The 26178-nt window shown below is 44.3% G+C and overlaps 1 protein-coding gene across 25 annotated transcripts in view, besides 1 other annotated feature; it reads right to left on the bottom strand.

Moving 5' to 3' along the window:
* MTHFD1L (methylenetetrahydrofolate dehydrogenase (NADP+ dependent) 1 like) overlaps positions 1 to 26178 on the bottom strand; it is a 236186-nt gene that overhangs the window by 60441 nt on the left and 149567 nt on the right. For all 25 annotated transcript variants that reach the window (NR_146719.2, NR_146720.2, NM_001242767.2 and 22 more), the window contains 3 exons: positions 25754 to 25931; positions 6847 to 6954; positions 4330 to 4482 (listed from right to left, as the gene is read on the bottom strand). Coding sequence is in view for 23 of the 25 variants with exons in the window: in NM_001242767.2 (NP_001229696.1) it covers positions 4330 to 4482; positions 6847 to 6954; positions 25754 to 25931 (439 nt within the window). In the remaining 2 variants the exon portion in view is untranslated. The remainder of the gene's footprint in view (positions 1 to 4329; positions 4483 to 6846; positions 6955 to 25753; positions 25932 to 26178) is intronic.
* Positions 4193 to 5392: an enhancer, noted in NCBI's record as "P300/CBP strongly-dependent group 1 enhancer chr6:151357191-151358390 (GRCh37/hg19 assembly coordinates)". NCBI's record gives its function as "activates an origin of replication core promoter dependent on BRD2, BRD4, P300/CBP, MED14 and CDK7 cofactors, with strong dependence on P300/CBP, by STARR-seq in HCT116 cells {active_cell/tissue: HCT116}" and the evidence as "EXISTENCE:reporter gene assay evidence [ECO:0000049][PMID:35650434]".

The following is a 26178-nucleotide window of genomic DNA, read 5'->3' as shown; positions in this document are numbered from 1 at the left end:
CTAGAATTTTCCCACCTGCAGGAGCCAGTCCCCCTGGTGTCCCCATTCCCCGTCCCCTCAGTCATCTCAGCAGGAAATTACTATCCTGTCTCCCACACGGGTGATGAATGTTCAAGGCATTTCAGCAGACTGTGGCAAGGCCCAGAATGGGGTCAAGTAAAAATAAATACCAGTCCTTATTAGGAGATCCTGGCCCCTCTGGTGCGTGTGTCCCACTACACATGCAGCTTCCTGCTCTGTCATAGAAAGCAGCCCTCTAGGGCCACCGCCTCCAGTGAGAGTTTCCTGACCTCCAGGAACTTCTGTAGTCAGGCACCACTCCCTTCCTCATGCCCCACACCCGACTGTTCCAGGAGATTTCATCACTGTGCACTGACGCTCACTGCGACCCCGTGTGTGGCCACAGGAGGAACTCGGCTGAGGGCTGAGAAGACCAGATAATGACACAGAGGGCTCACTTCAGGAAACCAGGGAGCTGCAGCAGCTATCCAGGGCCATTCCACACATTCATTTTCTAACAAGTCGTAAGTGAAAGAGTGACGTCAGGAGCGGACAGCCTGGTGTCCAGGCATGAGCCATGGCAACAGATTCTGATTTTCCAGAACGGCTTTGGTCTTTACCTAGTGTTGGATATGGTGGCGTTAGCTGGAGTGAGAGGAGATTCACATTGTATATTTGTTTAGTGACTCCAAAGATTTTAAATTATATTGTGTTTTTTATTATTTTATTTCATTTTTTTAGAGACAGAGATCTCACTCTATCTCCCAGGCTGGAGTGCAATGATATGATCATAGCTCACTGTAGCCTCAAACTCCTGGGCTCAAGTAATCCTCCCATTTCAGCCTCCTGAGTAGCTGGGACTCCAGGTGCGTGCCATGACTCCTGGCTAATTTTTGTTTAAGTAGAGACAAAGTCTGGCTATGTTGCCCAGGCGTCTCAAACTCCTGGCCTGAAGCAATCCTTCTACCTTGGCTTCCAAAAGTGCTCGGATTGTAAGTGTGAGCCACTGTGCGGGCCCTGGTTTTTATTTAATGGCTATTAAATGCTCAGTAGTGAATTAAGGTTTCAGTTAAATGCACAATTTTTACACCAAACTATTCTCTTTACTAATTCACTTCTATCTGCGTCTACCACCTGTAAACTACCTGAAGCAGAGAAAGCTTCTTAAAGTTGGGGCTCCCTGTAGCCCCGAGCTGAGTGCCTTATGCAGCATTGGCCGAGTGAATGAATTTGTTGGGTGAACTACTGCGGGGTTTAGAGTCCTCAGAGGGTAGGACAGGACAGATCGTGACTGAGGCTAACCTTCTCAGCTACTCTACCATTTCATGCTCTGTTTGGGCACCTCCGTCACCCCTCACCTCCCCTGATGGTCCAGTCTCTCTGGGCCTGCACTGTCCAGCCGCCCTCTTATCCCTAAGCCAAGGCTTTCACCAGCTAAAGCTCAGGAGTAAAGTGGCCATCACTGAGGCCATTCTATGTATGCATGTATGCATGTATGCATGTATGTATGTATGTATGTATGTATGTATTTAGAGATGAAGTCTTGCTCTGTCACCCAGGCTGAAGTGCAATGGCGCAATCTTGGCTTACTGCAACTTCTGCCTCCCGGGTTCAAGCGATTCTCCTGCCTCAGCCTCCTGAGCAGCTGGGATTATAGGTGCCCACCACCCCGCCCGGCAAATTTTTGTATTTTTAGTAGTGATGGGGTTTCACCATTTTGGCCAGGCAGGTCTCGAACTCCTGACCTTGTGATCCGCCCGCCTCGGCCTCCCAAAGTGCTGGGATTACAGGCGTGAGCCACCGCACCCGGCTGACTGAGGCCATTCTAACGAATATAAAGCAAGCTCTTCAGCACCCATTTTTGTTAACTGAGGTATAATTAAATTATACACAGGCCTGGCACAGTGGCATGAGCCTGTAGTCACAGCTACTTGGGAAGCTGAGGTGGGAGGATTGCTTGAGCCCAGGAGTTTGAGTCCAGCCTGGGCAACACACGTGAATAGGTCTATGAGTCTGGAAGAATGTATATAGCCATGGAATCACTACCACGTCAAAACATAGGGTATTTGCATTATCCCAAAAAGTTCCCTCCTGCCCCTCTGCAGTCAAACGCTTCCCCTCCCCCAACTCCTGGCAACCACTGATCTGAACTGTAGACCTGAAAATGTCATTCAGAACCCATTTCATCCAGGCCCTTCTCCCTGTGCCAACACTGCTACGAGCGGTGTCTGTGGGATTTTTCTGGACGTTCTCTGCCATGCCGCTGCTCCTTCCTTCCCGCCTCCTGGAAGGCACCCCTGCTAGGAGTCGGCTGCATTAACGTGGGTGTTTCAGGGGTGTCTTCCTTCACTGTCTTCTCACTGATTTCCAGCTATCCCTGTGTCTCTTGTTTAACGACTGCCTTCACCCATATCCTTAAACCCACCAGGGTGACCTTCCTGCCTCTTTCTTTGAAGCACTGTGTCTGTATTTCCAGTGGAGACACAGACTATTCCTTAGATCCTATTAACCCTCTGAGCTCTCTCTGTTCAAGCCAGGCTCATTTCTGGCTCTGCCAATCTGCCTTCTCCCGTGTCCTTTCCATGACCGATGGCATCACTAGCCAGAGTCACCAAGCTAGAACGGTCCCTTCCCCCGGCCCCCACGGTAGGAGGATACTTTTAGAGTATGTCTGCAATTCACCCCCACTCTCTGTATCTACTTCTGTGGCCAAAGTGCGGACCTTGATTGCCTCTGGCCCGAGCTGAATTAACCCACCTCTCTGGGCCTGGTTCTCTTTTCACTAAACATTCTCCATATTGCTGCCAGAGCTATTTTTCTAAAATACACATCAGACCACATTCTTCTCCTCCTTATTTAAAACCAAAAAAACAAAAAACCAAGAAACAAACAAACAAAAAACCCACCCTACCGTGGCTCCCCAGTGTGTAGAGATCAGATTCAAGTTCCATGAGATGGTCTTCAAGATCCTTGGCCATGTGACCCTGTCCTGCTATCCCAATCCCATTCCCATTCCCATCCCCAGCCACCCCCCCTCATCCAACTCCAGCCACATCGGATCACCCCAGGAGAGGATGTCATGTATTAGTACTTTGGTGCCTTTGAGTCAAAACTCACTGTTTTGCCAGTTCAGAGGCTGAGCTCTTTTTGAAGAATCCCCTCTTCTTCCACATCCTGGGTAAGTTCTACCCCAGGCATAATGAGCTGTTATCCCCCTGGGCTCTGAGGGCATTCAGAATACCAACACAGTGCTCTCCAGATACCTCTGTGCTATTCAAACCCATGCGTCTCACACCTGCTCATCCTAAAATCTCTGTGCCTCACATGCAGGAAGAATTCAAAAAATGCTGATTGAAAAAACATTGTGTCCAATATTAGATGAAGTATGTAAATATCAAGGCAAGAATCTGCACTTTTTATCTATCTATTGCTTGTTTGCACAATAAAGCAACATGGTTTATTATAAAAAATTATGATAATGTATGCTGTTTAAGCTCAGATCACTTTGCACTAATGATGACGATAATGATGGGTTAGAATATTTTTTTCTTTGCTTGCCATGGGATCTGCTAGGTTGTAAGAATTCTTTTTTGTTCTAAACCAAATTTAGGAGCACTCCCAAAGACAAGAAGTCAAATTTAGGCCACTGACGGTACCAACGGAAGGCTATCACTGTGTAGCTGTACCAAATGAAGCCCATCTTCATGGATTTTAAGCACTTTGATAAGCTTTTATTTATCTGCCCATCTCCTTTACCCCCATAGATAACACAAAATAACAGAATAATCATCCAATAGCAACATGATCCCATCACAACAACATCAAAAATGAGAACTCCTATGATTCAGTAATTTCCTAAGCCAGAGCTTCCCACCTGACGTGCTGGGGAAGTGAGAGAGGGTGAGGACTGCTTTCCCCAGCCCTTGGGGTGACTGGGCAGATCCTGTCTGGTGTGAGCAGTCAACCCCACCGTGATGACATCATTTTGGGTGCTATGTGTGATAAAGGTTGACAACCACTGTCTTAAGCCATTCTACCATTTAAATAACAGACTGAATTCTCCCAAGTTATGTTCTTACTCACCTTAGGAAGGAAATTAGTATTATGACTCTAAGGACCCTGAACACATGATCTAAAAAAAGAAAAATCCAAACCACAATGGCAAAAGTAGGTGAGACACAGTGTTTAGAAAAATAGCGAATACTGTACTATTAATTACTCCCAATTTTCCCTAATCCATGATTTTTAAAGAGCGGGCGGAGCATAACGATTTGAGGCACCACAGCAATGCAGAATGGGGAGGGTTTTTGGAAAATGTGACTCACTCACCGTTCCGACCAAAGGGTAAATGAACCCAGCGCCTATGCTGGCCCGGACGTCACTGATAGGTAAGATGAAGTCCCTTGGCACACCTTTTTTGTCAGGTTGGTGAGATAGAGAAAGGTGGGTCTTTGCCATGCAGATGGGCAAATTTCCAAAACCCTGTGAGAAAGGAAAGAAAATGTGTTCACTGATACAGATGTTAGTCTCCTGTGCTTTTCAATTTGCACTTTATACAGTCTCGGCAGCAATGGTATGCCGGCTCAGATCGAGGCACACGCAGGAGCTGCTTGTTACTACTTGTTCACTGAAGAAGCAAGAAGGTGAGGATAAAAACTCATCTCCATGTGATGACTGTTTAGCAGGTCAAGGGTGACTATTGTTTATTTTGGAGGCTCTCTTTAAGAGAAGGCAGTGTTATGTGCATGTTTGGGGAAAGCATGGCTATTTTCAGGCAAAGCAGCAGCTGTAGAAACCACTTTCCAAGACTATTAATATCCGGGACCCAGCAAGGTAGTCTGGAGAAAGGCTCTGCGACGAGGCTCTTACTCATGTTGTTCACTCATTCTGGAGTCAGTCAGGAAGCAAAGGGTTCCTTTGTGTTGGTTTATGAATCATGGCTATTTGATCTGCAATTACATTATAAGAACTAAGATGAGGTCACTATTTAAGCTTCTTGTTTTTAAGGACCAAAGTCTATGTCTGACCCAGAGTTCCAAAGGTGAAAGAGCAGGAAGTCACATGTGGTGTCTCACAAAAAGCACAGTGTCCTCAAAGCCTGGTTCTGATTAAATGGCACACAGTGTTCCTTTAGAGGCTTTGCTAATTCATTGCAACCACATACTTGACACTAACTTTAAAAAAAAAATAAAAATAGAGATGGAGGTTTTGCTATGTTGCCCAGAGTGGTCTCAAACTCCTGGCTTCAACTGATCCTCTGCCTTGACCCCACAAAGTGCTGGGATTACAGGTGTGAGCACCGTGCCCGGTTGACATCACTTTTAAGGAATATTTCCTTGATAGAGATAAAGGGAATGAAATCTTTAGTTAAATTTTCATAAGACTTAGCCTAAAACTATTTGGAAGATCTTAGAGTCTTATCAACTCAGGGAGGACTTGGACTTGGGGCCATTTTCTTTTTGAAATCTCCACTCTTCTATACCGATAAGAATTTTGCTGAGTGACAATCACAACTGTCTTTCAGAAATGGTGCCAGAATTTTAAATTTCAGACATGGTTAAATATTGAAGTAATTTCTATGAACTAATACAGGTTTGCTAATGTAAAAATTTTGTCAGTAGGCATATTAAAAAGAAAAAAACCAACCAATATGCCATATACTCTCACCAGATTACTTCATAAAAGAAATACCATTTTAACACTGAAAGGAGAAAAGACTTAATATTAGAATAAATGATAGTCTTAAATATCATTATTAAAAACTCACGGAAAAAAAAACAAACCAACCTTATGAGAATGACCTTATTTTACTTGGTTCATTGCACATGAATGAAAATTTCACCACAATGCCTGTGCACAGAGCAGTGCTTGGGAATCCTTTTTGTAAAGGATAAGCCAAGAACATACAGGGAAAATTCTAAGAATTTAGAACTTCCTGAGTTGCTGACTATTTTACCAAACCTAGGAGAACAAATACCCTGGCTGGCAACGGCAGCATTTAACAAAATTTCAAATGGGTTTACAAAAAAGAATAAGGAGTTGGAGATTTTTTTTAAAGAAAAGGTCAACGCTACCCATCATGAAGTTCTTTAGCCAGCAGGCTCTTAAAGTGTTCTGACTGCTATCTATCCGACTACACCAAAGTAGGAGGGACACTCGAGGCATACGGTCCTTTTGGTGAAGGTGGCTGAGCCTCCTGTAGTGGAGTTGATTGATCATGACTGTCACTGGACTAGATGGTGATGCATGCTGTCAGATCACAGCCACCTTCCCAGCTGTTTGCCTACTTGCCTTTGTCAGTGGCTAGAGGTAGAAGATGATGGAGCCTTCAATCTCAGCGGACAAGCTCAGTAAAAAGCCAGTGAACCGCTTGCATAAGAAGAACAGCAAACATTCCCATCTTTATAGGCTGCACTCCTATCTGCCTACCCTGGCACCACGCTAGCATTTTTAAGGTAGTAAGTAAGAGGCCTGTAAGGAAGAGGAAGCATTGCAATTCATCTAAATCTGACTCCGCAGCTCTACTCCAAAGGATAGCTTCAACATTCAGGGCTGAGTGGGAGGGATGAAAGATCACACATCACCTAAAAACAGGGATACCACCCATATCAGACACATTTATAGTCACAGAAGTAAATGATGCATGGATCAGAGGATATATGCCTCACCATAAAGTTCTAAATATAGTCTACACTCTACCCGAGGATATTACCTTCATCTTTGTTAACCATACAATAGATTAAGCAAAGGTTAGCTGGTGCGATATGTACAAATCCTCAAGTCAAGCTGAGTATTCTGAGAGCCTAAGGTGAATTTTTTCTTTTCCCCTAAAAGTAGAACTTTTACCTGTTGAGTGTAACGATCTATTTTGGCTTGTGCCTCAGGAGAGAGTTCAATATCTTTGGCTCCATAGACAGCCTGAGCAATGGTCCTTATCTTGTCCACAATTGGAACCTGGAGAAACACAAATTATAACAAAATTGTATAAGTTTAATCTGGTTAAAGATTTTTTAAAAACTTTAGTGAGATGTTCTGTAATTGCTTAAAATTCCCTTATCAGAGTACCCCCTCAGCAACTGCAGGATTCCTAGCAAACCCTCTTTTTTCCTTTTAGCACCCTAAAGCACTGAAATTTTCAGTGTCAGAAATAGATCAGATGTCAACTAGCAAATAAGTCTTAGGTGTTCAGGCAATTTAGAGGCTTCTTATCTAGTTGTAACCATTTTTATCCATTGTAGCATTAAAAAAATATAGTTTACTATAATTTCTTTTTTTTTTTTAAGACAGTATCACTCTGTCGTGCAGTGGCACAATCTCAGCCCACTGCAGCCTCAACCTCCCAGGCTCAAGTGATCCTCCCATCTCAGCCTCCTGAGTAGCTGCGACTACAGGGGTGCACCATGACTCCAAGCTAATTTTTTTTCTGCATTTTTTGTAGAGACTGGGTTTCACCACGTTGCCCAGGTTGGTCTTGAACTCCTGGGCTCAAGCAAACTGTCCACCTCGGCCTCCCAAAGTACTGGGATTACAGGCATGAGCCATCACGCCTGGCCTGTTTACTATAATTTTCAAATAATCATATATGTCAGGACAGGAGTCTCCCAACGAAATTGTGAGTGCTGGTTTTTAAGTGGGTCTGAATACGGGTTCATAGTATTAAAAACAAGTATTTTTTCATGAGCAGTAATGGATTGAGATTTTAACATAAATGCTGATGTGATCAAACACTATATTGGAAAATCAGAGGTTGAACCTACTGTCACTTAAGCAAATTATGAGAAGTCATGTGGCATGGAAGAAATGTGAGAAGACTAGATACAGGCAAATAAGTGTGTTGGAGGAGAAGATTTCCATAATGTTAGATTGAAAACCAGGACACAGACTATTGATAGCATACGGCAAGGGATCTTCAGAAACAAGAATGATTCATTAGGAAAATAATATTCCACAGATAAAGTAATTCTAAATTTAAGAAACACATTTGGCAAAATTATCTACAATCCTCCTGTGGGTAAAGATGCATATGTGGCCAGGTGCAGTGGCTCACACCTGTAATCCCAGCACTTTGGGAGGCTGAGGTGGGTGGATCACTTGAGGTCAGGTGTTCAAGATCAGCGTGGCCAACATGGTGAAACCCCGTCTCTGCTAAAAGTACAAAAATCAGCTGGGTGTGGCAGCGCACTTCTGTAATCCCAGCTACTCAGGAGGCTGAGGCAGGAGAATCGCTTGACCCTGGGAGGCAGAGGTTGCAGTGAGCCAAGATCGCGCCACTGCACTTCAAGCCTGGGTGACAGAGCAAGACTCTGTCTCAAAAAAAAAAAAAAAGAAAGCATATGCATGATGCAATTAGTGGATTTACTGTTTGGTGAACAACTGCTGAACCAAATGCTGATGGAACAGATGTCAACCAAGGGGCACAAGTCTCCCGTGATGTGCCTCAAGGACTTTGCTTGGCAACAGCTAGTGTCACATTTGTATGAAATACTATTGATACAAGAGTTACCCAAGAGAAAATAAATAAAAGCTAGCACTCTTCCCCTCCCAACCCTGATAGAACCCAAAACTGCTTTAAAACGTGTTTTTCATTACTACAGTTTTTATTACTGTAGAGGTGTTCTGTGGTCTGGAACATAAATATTGAATATTCTAACAAATAAAAAGAAATGAAGGTGCAAGCCTTATAACCTTTCACTGAGGGACATAAAAAGAGTCTGAGTCAATGGAGGAAAATAGTTTGCTCATGGATGAGGAGACTTAACACTGTACAGACGTCACTTCTCTGAAACTTACTCAGTTCAATGCAAGTCCAATAAAAATCCCAAGCTCATTTTTGGTTACTTGGCCAATTAGTTCTGAAACTTACAATAAAGGGTTGATGTGGTTTGGATGGTGGTCCCCTCCAAATCTCATGGTGAAATGTAATCCTCAATGTTGGAGGTGGGGCCAGGTGGGAGGTGTTTGGATCACGGGGGCGGATCCCTCATGAATGGCTTGGTACTGTCCTCACGATAATGAGTGAGTTCTCACTCTGAGTTCTCAGGAGGTCTGCTTGTTGGCACCTCCCACCCCATCTCTTGCTCCCGCTCTTGCCATGTGATGCACTGGCTCCCCCCGCCTTCACCTTCTGCCCTGAGTGGAAGCTTCCTGAGGCCCTCACCAGAAGCCCAGCAGATGTTGGTGCCATGCTTGCACAGCCTTCAGAACCATGAGCCAAAATAAACTACTTTTCTTTATCCATTAACCAGTCTCAGGGATGCCTTTATAGCAACTCGAGAGTGAACTAACACAGGGTAATGGCATAAATAGTCAGATAACTTTAAAAATAAAACAAAACCAAAAGAACAAAGAAAGAGGACTTTTCTACTAGCTATCAATCATACCACAAAACTATGCTAATAAATTCCATGGGTACTGGCACAAGTATAGACAAATTAATCAACGGAAAAGAAGAAAGAACCCACAAAGACACTCAGCATGTGCAGGATAGTATATAACAGAGGTGACACAAATCAACAGAGAAAGGCTGACTACCATCTGACTTTTGGCTGGAGAGAAATAAAATTATATTCCTACCACATACCAGGCCTCCAAATAAACCCAATATGGAACAAAGGCATAAACTTGAAAATTATAACTCTACATATTGGAAGAAAACAGTGGGAACTCTATTATTCTGAAGTAGAGAAGGATTTCTTAAATGAGGTAACAATAGAATAACCCATAAAGGAAATGATATATAGATTTCACTACAGCAAAATTTAAAACTTGTTTTAAGAAGACATTATAAATAAGGTCAAAAAATAAGAGACAGACTGGAAGAAGATATATGCAAGTATTTATAAAGTCAAAAGATTAGTAATCTTCAAGGACCAATCTTTGTTAAAACTCTCTGAGCTTTCTAAGATCTATCCCAAAAGCCACCTCCTCCACGAAGCCTTCATGGATGAACCTTAGGCACATGTGAGCATCCTCTTCTTTGACATCTAGATGCCCTTGGGGCGCTCCTACCTGCAGCTTCAGAGGACAGGGATTCACTGGGGCCTGACTGTGAGTGGCTGCAGCAAAAGCTCATGCAATCTTGGGGTGTGTGAATGGAGCCCGAGTGTGTGAACAGTCACACAGACTTGGCAGCACCACACTGACACTGAAATCTCTTGGAGGGCCATGCCATACAAAAAATCGAAAGGAGGGCAGAATGTGAACCAAGGGACAAACGTTAGAAGGAAGTCGTTTTGAGTGCAGTGTTTAAGGAAGAACTATAATAACCAGAGCTCTCTCACTTAGCAGTGACCTGTCCTTGCCTGGAGGGTTCTGTATAAGCTGAATATGGTGCCAGGAATGTTGTACAAAGAGTTACTGCCTGAGTACAAAGTTGAGGCTGGGTTAGAGAAAGAAATTTAAGGGTAACTTTTTTTAAAATTTATTTTTGGTAGAGATGAGGTCTCACCATGTTGCCCAGGCTGGTCTCAAACTCCCGGCCTCAAGTGATTTTCCTGCATTGGCCTCCCAGGTTGCTGGGATTACAGGCGTGCCCTGCATGGGCAACTTCTAATGTAAAAGATTCAATGTTCATATTAGCTGAAGAATAAAGAATGGTTGATAAACTCTTTGAGCCTCGGGACCATCTCTTATTTACCTAGAGGCAAGATAGGATACAGCCCCTGGAATATATACAAGGCCCTCCCTATACAGTTGAACCAATGAATATTTCTATATTTCCTATTGACTAAGCTTGGGTTCCCTGTGGTTCAATAGCCACACAAGATGATAAGAAAATTCAGGTGTTGATGTGCTGCAGGCAACAGCGCAGAAGACTTTTTCCATGAATCTTAGATCATGAGCAGCCTATGTTGCTGGGCACTCAAGTGCTTGCTCCCAACACTGCACTGAAACTAATGCGAGCTCCTCTGCTGATCAACCAATGCCTGGCAAGGAACAACCTTTTTTAAGAAATAAAAGTTGGTAGGATGCTGGAAGATACTTCTTGCAGGAAAGAAGCCGCAGGGCAAGTCCAAGGACCTTGCTTTGTTAGAAGTCAGCTCCCAGAAGGGTGTGTTCTCCGGGCAGTAGAACAGTGGTTTTGGGAAGCAGGCAATGTTCCTGTTGCATCCAGTCTCTGGCCTGCACCTACCCCAGTGTGGCCACTCCAACCCTCCATGGGCTCTGCACAAAGGAGCTTGGTGGCTGTGTGAGGTAGAAGGGCTCAGAGAGAATGCAGCCCCTCCTTATGTGTGGTTAAATCATGTAACCTCCCTGAATTTATTTCCTCATTTCTAAGATGAGGATGTGAATACTTCACTATACATCACTGTACTGCACACGTTGAGTCAGTGTAAAACGCAAGCACGTTGTAAACGTCATGCTATACAAACCTTAAGTCATATTATTATGGAGTGAGAACGGTAGGGAGGACTGAAAGAATTACATTTTGCTTGGAAGTACAGCAAAACAAGATACTGTTACTCATAACACATTTAATCAACAGAATGCATTCTTTACTGAACTCAAGATCATAATTCAAAAATAAAGAGTGTGATTTTTCTGTTAATAATTTAAAAAACTCACATGGGAGCAAAGTAATAGCAATCGAATGACTAGTGAATAAATTGATGCGAGTGGATGGCTGAGTTGTTATTTAAAAAAATTTTTTTTATACAGAGACTCACTCTGTCACCCAGGGTGGAGTGGAATGGCGAGATCTTGGCTGACTGCAACCTCTGCCTCCTGGGTTCAAGTGATTCTCCTGCCTCAGCCTCCCAAGTAGCTGGGATTACAGGCATGTGCCACCACGCCCGGCTAATTTTGTATTTTTAGTAGAGACAGGGTTTCACCATGTTGGTCAGGCTGGTCTCAAACTCCTGACCTCAGGTGATCCGCTTGCCTCGGCCTCCCAAAGTGCTGGGATTACAGGCGTGAGCCACTGTGCCTGGCCTGATTTGTTATTTTTAAACACGAAAATGTTTTGTAAGAAATCTATCTATCTATCTATATAATATGTATATATATATTATTTATTTATTTATTTGAGACAGAGTCTCACTCTGTTACCCAGGCTGGTAGTGTAGTGGCGCGATCTTGGCTCACGGTAACCTCTGCCTTCTGGGTCAAGCAATTCTTTCTGCCTCAGCCTCCCGAACAGCTGGGATTACAGGCTCCCGCCACCACGCCTGGCTAATTTTTGTATTTTTAGTAGAGATGGGGTTTCACTATGTTGGCCAGGCTGGTCTTGAACTCCTGACCTCAGGTGATCTGCCTGCCTCGGCCTCCCAAAGTGCTGGGATTTCAGGTGTGAGCCACTGTGTCTGGCCTAAAATATATATTTTTAAGAACTTTAATTTTGGTAACGTACACATAACATATAATTTACCATCTTCTTTTCTTTTTTTGTGACCCAGGGTCTCATTCTGGAGTTCGGTGATGTGATCACGGCTCACTGCAGCCTCAACTTCCTGGGCTCAAGTGATCCTCTTACCTCAGCATACTGTGTAGCTATGACTACAGGTGTAAGCCACCAGCTAATTTCTAAAATTGTTGTAGAGATGGGGGTCTTGCTATGTTGTCCAGGCTGGTCTTGAACTCCTGGGCTCAAGTGATCTGCCTGCCTCAGACTTCCAAAGTGCTGGGATTACAGCCGCAAGCTACCATGCCTGGCCTAATTTACCATTTTAACCATTTCTAAGTGTACAGTTCAGTAGCGTTAAGTCCATTTATGGTGTCGGGCAACCAACCTCCAGAACTCTCTGTATTTAGCAAAACTGAAACTGTACCCATTAAGCAGCAACTTTCCATGCCCCTCCCCTTGGCCCCTGACAACCACCATTCTACTTCCTGTCTATGAATGTGACGGCTCTACAGGCCCCTACAAGTGGAATCAAGCAGTATCTGTCCTTCCGTGTCTGGTGTATTTCATTTAGCATAATGTTCTCAAGGTTCATCCGTGTGATAGGAGGTGTCCTTCCCAAGGCTGAATAATGTTCCATAGTATGTGTGTGCCATATTTAGCTGATCCCCGCTGACAGACAAGGGGGTTCCCACCTTTCAGCTACTGGGAACAATGCTGCTATCAACAGGGCTGCATGAGTACCTGCTTGAGTCCCTGCTTTCAATGCTTTTGGGCGTAAGGCAACATACATTTTTTTGTTACCAACTAAACTTTCTTCCTTTCCAATGTTTATTGGAAAGTGTTTTGGGAATTCCAAGGAGGTGCCGGGCTGACTGTGTGAGATGAGTAGTTGTGGTTTACTTCCTGTAGGACAAGCGCGACCACCCACACATGACGGTACTGTGAGGGGCCAGTAGTACGAATGAATCCCAACTGGGCGGCCCTGCTTCCCTGCCTCAACCCAGGGCTGTGTGCTTCCCAGCAGGCACTGCCATCTATCCAGCCCCACAGTTTCCCAGCACTCAGCACTTCTGATGCTTGGCCTCAACCTCGCCACCACTGGAGAAGATGAAGGTGCATTCTGGTGGCTTCCACAGGTATGACACTGTTTCCTGGGACCTGAAGAGAATGCACTGTCTACAACCTGAGCTACAACCCTGCAGCCACATGCTGAATAAAGTGCTTCAACTCACAGCTCAAAAGCCCATGGCCAGAGTGCTCTTGGGACTCCTGCTACAATTTTTGTTTTTCACTCACAAGTACAATTAAGGAAATAATCTTTTGGGTTTAGTGTAAATACTAAAATCTGCCCTGATAAGGTCCTTCCCCTTGCATGCAATCTATTTATATTCTGTTAGCAGGCAAGGAACTTCCTATGGTTAATCTGCTTGATTTGGGGGAGAAGTGTAATCTTTAAAGAAAAAAAAAAAAAAAGCCAAGCTCAGTCCAAAGGTCTTGATCTGAGCTTGATATTCACTTGTACTTCTCTGTAGTAAATGATAGCTTTTATAAACAAATAAAATGGCCAATTTATGACTGTTTATGCATTAATCATTGCTGGCTTTCTCTTGGTTCTGTAAATATTGACTAATATATTTACTTGCCACATTGTGCCTTGGAGAGTGGCCTGCACAAAGTAGGATCCCAAAGGCATCTGCTAAGTGATCAAATAACCACCTATGGCAAGTCCTTTCAAGACGTCAGGGCATTGTTCATACAGCTTCAGGGACTTTGTGTACCAAGAACTTCTGATGGATTGGGGACAATGAGACACAACAAACAACGATGACAGAAGAGAGTGTGCAGTCAAGACTCTGTATAAACATTACTATTAAAGTCAAGAGATCACAGGTTGCAGAGGGAGGCATGAAAATCAGCAAAAGCTGGCAAGATATTAAAAAAAAAGCTGGAATAGTGCATTAAAGAAAGGACAGGAGGCCTGGTGCGGTGGCTCACACCTGTAATCCCAGCACTTTGGGAGGCCAAGGTGGGCGGATCATGAGGTTAAGAGATCGAGACCATCCTGGCCAACATGGTGAAACCCCATCTCTATTTAAATAATACAAAAATTAGCTGGGAGTGGTGGCGCATTCCTGTAGTCAAAGCTACTTGGGAGGGTGAGGCAGGAGAATCACTTGAACCCGGGAGGTGGAGACTGCAGTGAGCTGAGATCGTGCCACTGGACTCCAGCCTGGTGACACAGCAAGACTCTGCCTCAAAAAAAAAAAAAAAAAAAAAAAAAAAGGATAGAAAGGACAGGAAAAATCTCAATAGGCAAAGAAGGGAAAGAAAGGCAGAAGCCAAGGTGAAATGGTGTCAAACACAGGGCTGAGTGGGACATAGTGAATATTCTGTCTATATAATGCACAGCTGCTTAACATATTAGCTACTTCAAAAGCCTGGTGTCTACACTTGTGTCTTTGGTCATTTTTGAACTAACATTATGTTAAATCTTCATATTCACCAAAAATGTAACCCTTCTCATACTCTACACTAATTCCTTTCCAAACTTCTTAAACATGTATTTCAGAAACGGAAATACTCTAGAACAAAGCTGTCCACTGCCACTTTCTATCACAATGGAAGATGTATCGTGTGTTCACTGGCCTCATGTGGCTATTAAAAGCACTGGAAATGGGACTGGAACAATCCAGAAACTGAACTGTCAATCTTAGCCACATGGGATATCAGGCAGTATGGCTCTAGAAAATAACTGTGACCAGTGGTTATATTGGTGGCACAGTCTCTCGCACAGAGCAGGCACAACATAAACACTAGCTGAATGACTCCACGAAGAAATAGTAGAGGATTTGGTGACCTTCATGCTTTATTAAATTCATTTTGTAGGTGTGGTGGACCAGGGTCCTAGAAGCTGAGTCACTCAAAGTTAAACAGTATAGCTTTCTTGGAAAGGCTCTGGAAATGCTCACTAGAATTCTTCAATTAAATTATTGAAGTCCTGTTTTTTAGTGGAATAAAATTGATCTGTACATTCTAGAAGAGCTGTTACATTTTAAAATAATTTTTTGATGACAAAAAATGGACAAAATAAAATGAAATGGAACAAAAGTTTAAAAATGAACTGTTAGAAATAAAGATCCATGAAGGCTTTATAACGTAGTAGGGGCGTCTCATCTTACTCAGAGGCCAAATTCTTAAGTCAGCAACTCTGAAAAATCTTTTAGAAGACCTATGAAAAACACTATGTAACACTCCACTCTCAATACCCTAGCATCTCTTAATGAGGCCCCACTGTTGTGAAGTATTGGAACACACTGCCATTTCTTCAGCCCTGCACCAAATGAAGTCGTTGGCATACATCGGGGGCCACAGTGAATGACAAATACATGGTTCTTTTCTTTCACCAAGGCTACAGAGTTGAATTCATATGGGTTAAATCTTCCTATGCTGTGATATTAGCAAAGTGTATTCCAAGTCCCGTAAAACATGTAAAGAGAAGGATCAATTAATAAACTTGTAAGTTGAATAGACATTTCCGGATACACAGTAATTATTTCCATTCGTATTTTGCATTTTAAATGAAGCATAAATTTTAAATGATCTACAAATACAGTTTGGCAAGCAGCCTTTCCTGTACTTCAAATTAAAGTACAACATGAAGCTGTCGATATTAATTTATACTGACCACACCACACTAGGTGCAAGGGCTTGCATTACCAATACCAACTGGAGTCCCGGGAGCGGCTCTGCCCTTGTTACTGAGAACAACAGGCCCCTGTATCGTTGACACAAAGCATGTCCTTGGCTGGAAATCAGCACATCTGAGCTACGTGCCGACGTCCACGAGCCTGCTCAGTGGGCATGGAGCCCTGTGGGCTCGCGGGCCCTGAGCAACAGGTTCACTCTGAAGACGCCTACATGTAGGGAATCTCATCCTTCTACGGCAAACCTGGGGTGCGGTGAGGGTAACCGGACTCTGGGAAATGGAAGAAAGGCTCGCCGCTAGAAAAGCTGCATTTCTCCACATGAAATAGTAAGAAATCCACATGGGTAATCTTTTATTACTCTCAAATAGAATAGTGTAGCAATGCCAAAAAACGGAATATATGGGAATAAGTGATTTTAAAGATCTCATCTCACCCAAAAGAGGGCAAAGTGCTGACTGGTTCGAGCACTCTGCTGGGCCCAGGAACACTCATGTACAGTGTTCTGTTTTGTTTTCTTTGAGACAGAGTCTTGTTCTGTTGCCCAGGCTCAAAAAAAACCCAAAACAAACACACACAAAAAAAACAGGCCGGGCATGATGGTGTGTAGTGGCATGTTCTTGGCTCACCGCAACCTCCACTTCCCAGGTTCAAGTGATTCTTGGGCCTTAGCCTCCAGAGTAGCTGGAATTACAGGCACGCACCACGATGCCCGGCTCATTTTTGTATTTTTAGTACAGATGGGGTTTTGCCATGTTGGCCAGGCTGGTCTCCAACTCCTGACTTCAAGTGATCTGCCCGCCTCAGTCTCCCAAAGGGTTGAGATTATAGGAGGGAGCCATCGTGCCTGGCCTTTTTTTTTTGAGCTTGGCTCTGTTGCTTAGGCTGGAATGCAGTGGGGTGATCTTGGCTCACTGCAACCTCTGCCTCCCAAGCTCAAGCAATCCTCCCACCTCAGCCTCCTGAGTAGCTGAGACTACAGTGCATGTGCCACTATGCCTGGCTAATTTTTAAAATATTTTTAGTAGAGACAGGATCTGCCATGTCACCCAGGTTAGTCTTGAACTCCTCGATTCTAGCGATCCTCCTACCTTGGCCTCCCTAAGTGCTAGGATTACAGGCATGAGCCGCCGCGCCTGGCCAAGCACAGTGTTCTCATGATGCATCTGCTCGTTCCTCTTCTACAAATCTGACTTAGGAACATCAATGTGTTACAAGAGCGAAATGAATGAATACAGGTGCAACGCTCGTTCCGTGTTCATGTTCAAGGAGCCCTTGTACTTTATTAAAAAAAAAAATCCCAACCTCTCAGAGACTGGGGAGACTGGAAGCCTGTGCTGTTTGAGTGTTTTTTTCCCCTAAACCCTAAGATCGTAGTTTTCTGTCTTAAGTGGTCCATTACGTGTGGTACCTTTAATGTTTGTTCCTGTGATCATATTTAATGGTCTTCACGAGCTTGCTTTTAGATTGAGAAAGTGGACACTCTCTCCACTGCAATGGTCTCATGTGATCTAAATTTAAGTCAGAAAGCCTGGGGAGGGATGGAGTGAGTGGTAGAAGGCAGCCGGCCAACATGTAGTGTGACTTTGATAGTTCATCATTTTACCTTCTCTCATAATTTTAGATGAAATAAGGCATTTCTAGAAACTTACATCATAGTGACAATCATTTTGCATGCTAGAAGAAAGCTTTCAATGACACTACAGGGATTCTTGTGACATGTGTAAGTATAATAAATACAGGCCACTGTTTTTTTCTCATTGGGTGCTATTTCAACCATCGAGGAAAGAAAGCTGGGGCAAGCTTTGCCAGAATCACAGGGATGAGTGGGATGCTTTGAGAAGGTTGGGCCAGTGCTCATGACAGGTGCAGATCCCTCGAAACTGTCTAACACAGCTGAATGACGTGCCTGGCAGGCTGGGTGGTGGGTTATATACTGCCGGCCAGCAGAGGTTTCATAAAGAACCTAGAAGCCAGTGTTGGAGAAGCATCTAGATTTGAGAGGGATCTAAGGTGTGTTTGCAGAAGGTCTGGTCAAGCAGGAGGTATCCGGGGCTTGGTGCAGTGGCTCATGCCTGTAATCCCGGCACTTTGGGAGGCTGAGGAGGACAGATCACTTGAGGTCAGGAGTTCGAGACCAGCCCAGCCAACATGGTGAAACTCTGCCTTTACTAAAAATACAAAAATTTGCTGGGCATAGTGGCCCACACCTGTAATCCCAGCTACTCAGGAGGCTGAGGCAGAAGAATTGCTTGAAACCGGGAGGTGGAGGTTGCAGTGAGCCGAGATCGTGCCAATGCACTCCAGCCTGGGTGACAGAGCGAGACTCTGCCTCAAAAAAAAAAAAAAAACCCAAAAACCAACCAACCAACCAACAAACAAAAAAACATAAAAAAAGCAGGGGGTATCTGGAGATTTGGGGTTGGATCATGGAAAGGGGGCCAGGGGATAAGAGGCTTATGGGAGGCTTGTTGAAGCCACTCACATTGAACAATCTAAGACTGTTTAAAGGCAGCTCAACCATAATTAAGAAAGCAGAATATTAAAGAGCATGGGGGAAGAAACAGGTTTATGAGTGAGATGCATAACTGACTGGAAAATGTAAGGACCAGCTTTCCACAGAACACTCCAAACATTCTAATGCACAACAGGAGAAGAGGGAGCGCTGAAGAAAGGGCTACTGACTCAGGCTGGCCCTGGGCGTGTCTGAAGATGGGAGGGAGAGCCGGGGGAGGTCAAAGGCCCTGAGGGGGAAGACAGCTTTTCCAGGGACAAGGACAACCAAAAGAAAGGACAGCCTTTCAACCTAGAGTGTGTTTTTTCCCTTCTAATTACTGTGAAATGTAAAAGGCAACAGAGATGTGCATCAATACCCTTTTAAGTTTTAAGATCCTATTAATTAAACCCTGTATGTACAATGTGAATGTACTTAATGCCACAGACTATACATGTAAAAGCGATTAAAGGGGAAATTGTATGTTATACATATTTTTACCACAATGGAAGATCCCCCACTGTATATCCATAGATATGCATTTTTAAATGTTTATTTCAATGTGGAGGCTCTAGTTGCAAATGCTCCAAGTCCATGTAAAGGATAGTTCTCACACCCCACCAACAACTGGTGTAGGTTCCAGCTGGCATTTTCAAGATGTAGAAAATAATTTCTTAAGAACCAACCAGAAAAACAACAACAATAACAACAAACATCCTGCCTTAAAAAAGACCAGCAGAGGAGGAAACACCCCTGGCCATCTGGGCAGTGAGAGCGTGAAGTTCAGAAGTCAGCAGAGCTGGCTGCGGCTCCAGGCTGTCTTCGTGGTTTGTTTTGCTCTTCCTTCATCCAGCCCCCACTGGGATCAAGAGAATGGCTTCACGCAAGGAACAGGAAAGACCTTTTAATAAAAACAAACACTATCCTGTCTTGCTGTCAAGGCTACACCTTAAAATGTTTGCAAGGCTAGAGGAAGGATACAGAGATGATTTTCAACCTTAACTCCTCATTTAACAAACAATATTCCGACTGAATGTCAAGCTGACTTCTCCGGGTCATACCTCCTTCTTTGCAAAAATGACTGATGTTTTATGATATCACTAAGGGCTCCCAATTCTCACGGAGAAGGAAAAACGTCAGTGTCTTGGTTTAGTTCAGTAGTGCTTTAGGAGACTTGACTTCTAATTCCTGGTTTTAACCCAGAGCAAAATAAACCAATCTTGGAGTTTGACAAAGTTACCTTGAGTTACAGGAGAATTCTTGAAGGTGAATTCAGGAGGCCCACTCTCTTTCCAAGTGAACATGACAGGAGGAAGAACCAGCATTGATTGACTACTTTCCTCCATTTTTTTCTTTTTGAGACAGAGTCTAACTCTGTTGCCCAGGCTGGAGTGCAGTGGTGTGATCTCAGCTCACTGCAACCTCTACCTCCCAGGTTCAAGCGATTCTCCTGCCTCAGCCTCCCGAGTAGCTGGGACTACAGGTGCGTGACACCACACCTGTCTAGTTTTTGTATTTTTAGTAGAGATGGGGTTTCACCATGTTTCCCAGGCTGGTCTCGAACTCCTGGCCTCAGGTGATCCACCTGCCTCAGCCTCCCAAGGTGCTGGGATTACAGGCGAGAGCCACCACTCCTGGCCTTCATTGCCTGCTTTCTATGTTCCAGCATTTTACTCTGGGGCATTTCATTTGGGTCTCACAGCAACTTGGTGAAGTTGGTGTCACTGTCAGACACCATTGTACAAATGAGGATGCTGAGGCTCGAGAGATTAGTCAGCTTCCCCAAATTGTGTCCACAGTAGGAGGCCTACTCAAGGTTTAAACTTAATTTGCATGATCCCAAAGCTTTAGCCTGTTAGCTCTATGTAATATGTTCCTTCTCCTATCAAGCGTCCATTTCTTATGGACAAGTCCATCACCTTCCCATCTATAATGCAGAGTTGAGCCCACATAGCAGATGGGATGTGCGGAGGCATGCCTGGAAGAACGTATGGAGGAGGGATTTCTTAGCTAATAAAGTGCGCATGTAGATTAGCGTTTCTTTCAGCCATCATATTTCCCTGCATCCCTGCAGACATGGAGATATTCTCTTAGTGAACGATAAAGATATAATTGTCAAAAGTCACATTAGAAAGGAAAATTCAAAGAGAAGATGATCTTGAGGGGGACTTTTAACAGCTTCTTAAAAGGGACTGCAATCACCCTCAAGGGTAGAGAGGAAATGATCCTCTGTATTTCAAGTTTAAACACATTCATTTTCACACAATAAAACTTCTTCTGAGCAATTAGTCTACTACACCTTATTCCATATTTTTCAATCTTTATTCTAAATTATTCATTGCTGCCTCCATCCGGTACCATAATTAAAAGTTGCCTACTCTTGAGTTAGAAGTTACTCTGGCAAAAAGAGATGCCAAATTGTTCTCTAGACAGCAGTTGCTGCTGAAGTCAGTTTTCTATAAAGTTCAGCAGAGACTCCCAAGTCAGAAGTGCAGCCTGTTTCTCACTTAACCTGTGAGCTCGCCATTAGGAAGTCCAGCACACTGCTGTCTGGCCGCACAGTGCCTCTGAGAGCCAGGTGCCCCACTCTCTCCAGCTGAATCACTCTCCAGTGGGGTTCCGAGACAATTTCTACTTCACATTCAAATGCAGTCATGCCCTGGGCTCTAGCACTATTTCCCATTACCCTAAATCATCTCCGGTGTTTTCCTTCCACAAGACTGGGGTGGAGAAAGAATAGCACACAAGATGCCATTAGTCTTGTACTGAATACATTCTTGGGGATATAAAGTCTGGGGAGACACCAAGGGGCACACAGAAACCCAGTTTGCTTTGAGAAGCAAAGGTGGGAGAGTGTCATATGCAAAGCATTTATAACTTCTTTCTCCTATAGAGCAATGCCATATCTTTCTCACTGCCCAGCACCCAAGGGTTGGTTGTGAGGGTGTGGGGTTGTAGGGGAGGTAAAAAGGGCTTCCAGAAAACCATTACTTAAGTTACTAAAGTTTTACCAGCACCAATCAATGCAAGAAATCCGGGGCAAAGAAGGCTTGAGCTCTATTACTGACTGCACCAATGAATTCAGATTTTTACATGGTGACAAGACAAGACTGTAAATGGTCTTAGATGATCTAAATCTTGCTGGTGTGAGGAACACAGCTAACAGGCAGACAGTACAAAGAGAGCCAGCAGCAGCAGCAGCTCTTTTCATGAACTGTCATGCTGCAGTAGGCTGGGAGGCTGATTATCTAACAAACAATTATGCAGCTCAAATCGAATTTCTGTTACAAGAAAAGCGAGAAGTGTGTTGGCAAAGGAGGCAGGGATCCTGGCCTTGAGGTCGCCTATCAATAGAGGACTTTAGACCACATTATTATTAAACATTTTCCTCCTTTCAGAAGAGAGCTGACATTTTAGCAGCATTATCTGCATGAAGAATGGGAATTCAGAAAAAAAAATTGAAATATCAGTGGAAAGGAAAAGGGTTCATGTTAGGGTTAGTGCATGTCTGAGACAGCATAACTCAGAAGCATTTCTTCTGATTACTGACCTCTTTTTCACCTGGGATGTTTTCCTTGAAAAGAGCCGCACTTTGTGAAATCATTCATGAAAATAACTGCCTTTGCTATGCAGAGTGGGGTGGTTCATGATCAGACGGCAAGATGGCATGATCAGATGGCATGATCAGAGGCACACTCACAGCAGGATCTGGGGGTGACTCTCCCTACAGTGGTTTATGTAGAAAGGCTCTGGCATGTGCCAAGGGTTGTAGGTACCCTGGCAAGCCTTACCCAGGACCAAAGAACAGGAACCCAGGGTCTCCTTGGCCACCTGCCATCTGAGTTGGCTTCAATGCCTCTGACTTGCCCACAGCAGGGCTACATCTATTTTGCGCTGAACACCTCTAGGTCTGAGAACTCAAAGCTTCCAACTGGAACATTTTTCTTTTCACTCATCCAAAATCTTCTCCCTCAATTGATCTCTACCGCCTCTGTAGTCCAGAATATTCTAGTTCCTCATTCACAAAATGGCCTCATAAAAATGAAAAACCTTTTATGAGCTAGCCTCCAATTAATTCCCTGTGTCCTTCCTTCCGTAAACACTGACTGCGTGCCAGCGATGATGTCCCCTGTGTGGCATGGAATCTGTGCCTATGCCCATCACTGTCACCCTTTCTCTTCAGGGGGGTCACTCAGTCACTGTCCCCTTTAACTATGTCTCCCCCCAGACCTCCAATACACACACACTTTTGAGCACAGTACTTAGCTCTGAAGAACAGAGCAGGGTGATGACCTCAACCATCTGGATATTCTTTCTCCCAGCTCTGCCTCTTCCTAGCTATGGGACACTGAGCAGTTGACTTAGTCTCTTCGTGCTTTAGTTTTCTTGTCTGTAAAATGGGAAGATATCACCAGTTTCCACCTAAGAGGGATGTTAGGACCAAAGAGGTGAACATGTGCAAAGCGCCCATATACCCAGCTCACAAACAACTCCTTAAAAGCGAGAGCTGTGGTAATATTAAATATTAATACATCAGCCCCGTTCTCTCACCACTGTGACTCCAGGCTTATCAACAACGCTGCTAAGCTCTTGCTTCACGGATTTCTTCTTCACTTATGCTATTGATTTATGCCACTGAACAGGAAAGAAGAGTGTCTGTGACATCTGAGTGACTCAACAATAGAATATGTGAGGGATGAAGGAACAGGAGAAGCAGCAATCAGCTTGAAGCCTGGGCACTCCACAATCATGCACTACCCCTGAAGACAAATCCATCAGCCAGAATCGGAACCACAAAATTCAGAATGGAGATGTCAGACGGGTGCAAAGACAGACGATCTGAGGAGGAGAGTGAGCCCTGGGAAGCTCAGGTCTTCTGACTGAACCATCGACATGTGCTTAAAAATATCCTAGAGGACCCAGCAATCCCACTTCTGGGAATACATTTCCAAAAGAATTGAAAACATGGCATGAACCCGGGAGGCGGAGCTTGCAGTGAGCCGAGATTGCGCCACTGCACTCCAGCCTGGGCGACAGAGCAAGACTCCGTCTCAAAAAAAAAAAAAAAAAAAAAAGAAAACACGGTCTTGAAGGGATACTTGTACATATGCCATATGCCATAAACACGCATGCTCATACAGCATTACTTACAATAGCTGTGAGGGGGAGCTCAAGTGTCCATCCACAGATGGACAAAGAAACAAAATGTGGGATATCCAAAGAATGGGAGCGTATTCAGCCCGAAAAATAAAGGAAATTCTGGCCGGGCGCGGTGGCTCACACCTGTAATCCCAGCACTTTGGGAAGCCGAGGTGGGTGGATCACAAGGTCAGGAGTTTGAGACCAGCCTGACGAACATGGTGAAACCCTGTCTCTGCTAAAAATACAAAAATTAGCTGGGCGTGGTGGTGCACGCCTGTAATCCCAGCTACTCGGGAGCCTGAGGCAGGAGAATTGCTTGAACCCGAGAGCAGAAGGTTGCGGTGAGCTGAGATGGTGCCTCTGCACTCCAGCCCGGGCAACAAAAGCGAAACTCCATCTCAAAAAAAAAAAAGAAGGGAAATTCTGACACTCTACAACATGCACGCACATTATGCTAAGTGAAATAAGCCAGCCACAGTATGATGCTACTTACATGAGGTCCCTGGAGTTGTTACATTCATGGAAATGAAGGAGAATGGTAGCTGGCAGGGACTGTAGGGAGGGGCATGGGGAGTTGTTCAGTGGGTACAGTTTCAGTTTTGCAAGATGAAAAGCGTTCTGGAGATTGGCTGCATGACAATGTGAATGTACTTAACACTACTGACGTGCACTTAAAAATGGTTAAGATGGGCCAGGTGTGGTGGCTCACGCCTGCAACCCTAGCACTCTGGGAGGCCGAGGCGGGTGGACTGCCGGAGCTCAGGAGTTCGAGACCAGCCCGGGCAACACGGTGAAACCCCGACTCTACTAAAATAAAAAAGAAATTAGCCAGGCACGCTTGCTTGCGCCTGTAGTCCCAGCTACTTGGGAGGCTGAGGCAGAAGAATTGCTTGAACCCGGGAGGTGGAGGTTGCAGTGAGCCGAGATCACGCCATTGCACTCCAGCCTGGGCAACAGAGCAAGGCTCTGTCTCAAAAAAAAAAAAAAAAAAAAAAGGCTAAGATAGTAAATTTTGTTATATATATATTTACCACAATGAAAATAAATAAATATATTATGTATGTATATATACACACACATACACTAGACATAGTTCAATAAAACCACAAGAGAAAAGAACCATAACAGAAATGAACAAGCAGAGGCCAGGTGTGGTGGCTCATGCCTATAATCCCAGCACTTTGGGAGGCCGAGGTGGGTGAACCATGAGATCAGGAGTTTGAGACCAGCCTGCCCAAGATGGTGAAACCCCGTCTCTACTAAAAATACAAAAACTTAGCCAGACGTGTTGGCAGGTGCCTGTAATCCCAGCTAGTCAGGAGGCTGAGGCAGAGAAGTGCTTGAACCTGGGAGGCAGAGGTTGCAGTAAGCCGAGATTGCACCACTGTACTCCAGCCTGAGCAACAGAGACTGTCTCAAAAAAAAAAAAGAGAAATGAACAAGGAAAATACCTCCCATGGTTTCCCAATCCTCACGAAATTGCTCTTGTTCCTGTGCAACTCCTGAAAGCGTCAGCTGTCAAATCCTGTTCGCTAAAGTACCTCCTCACTTAGGACTGCGATTTGGGAGTCTTCAAAAGCACAGGCTTTGGGACAAGGAGCTAGGGTCTGTACTTGGAAATGTGACTTTGTCATATGGCTTAAACTCTTCTACCTTTTTGTTTGTTTGTTTGAGACAGGGTCTCACTCTGTCGCCCAGGCTGGAGTGCAGTGGTGTGATCTCGATCTTGGCTCACTGCAGCCTCCACCTCCTGGGTTCAAGCAATTCTCCCACCTCAGCCTCCCGAGTAGCTGGGACTATAGGTGCACGCCACCATGCCCACCTAATTTTTGTATTTTTAGTAGAGATGGGGTTTCTCTATGTTGGCCAGGCTGGTCTCGAACTCCTGACCTCAAGTGATCTGCCCGCCCTAGCCTCCCAAAGTGTTGGGATTACAGGCGTGAGCCACTGCACCGGGCCTAAACTCTTCTATCTTTAGTTTTCTTATCTGTAGGGTTGTGGTGACAACAGAATGGGACAACCCATGCTAAGGTGTAAGAAATGTGAGCCATTGTTTTTACTAGATCTTACCTGAACATCATACAGGAACTGGAATCGGCTTCTTTTACTCGCAGCCTCTCTCACAGCCCGAGCCAAGTCCACCGATCCTTTTCCACCAACGGACCAGTGATAGCAGGGGACTGCATCAAAGGCACCAGCCCGCTTTGCAAGCTCACACACCAAGTCAATCTCAGCGCGGGTGTCGGTCCTAGTGAAGAAAATGTTTGTGGTTTTGCATCTGTATCCATTTAGCTATGTTTTCAAAGAAAGACTCACCATTTATACAGAACTTCGCTCCCTAACACTGAATACATTTTAAACATCAAAAGTGGTCACATCGTGTTTAAATAAATCAGACTTAAAGCATGGAAAAAAAAAGTCCTCTCTAAAGTGACTCAAATATTTCAAGTCGTTAAGGGTGTTATCAAGAAAATTCCATAACATATCCCTTTGAT

This window comes from Homo sapiens, chromosome 6 (genome assembly GCF_000001405.40).
Source record: "Homo sapiens chromosome 6, GRCh38.p14 Primary Assembly".
Classification (NCBI taxonomy): domain Eukaryota; kingdom Metazoa; phylum Chordata; class Mammalia; order Primates; family Hominidae; genus Homo; species Homo sapiens.
This window is presented reverse-complemented; position numbering and strand designations above follow the sequence as displayed.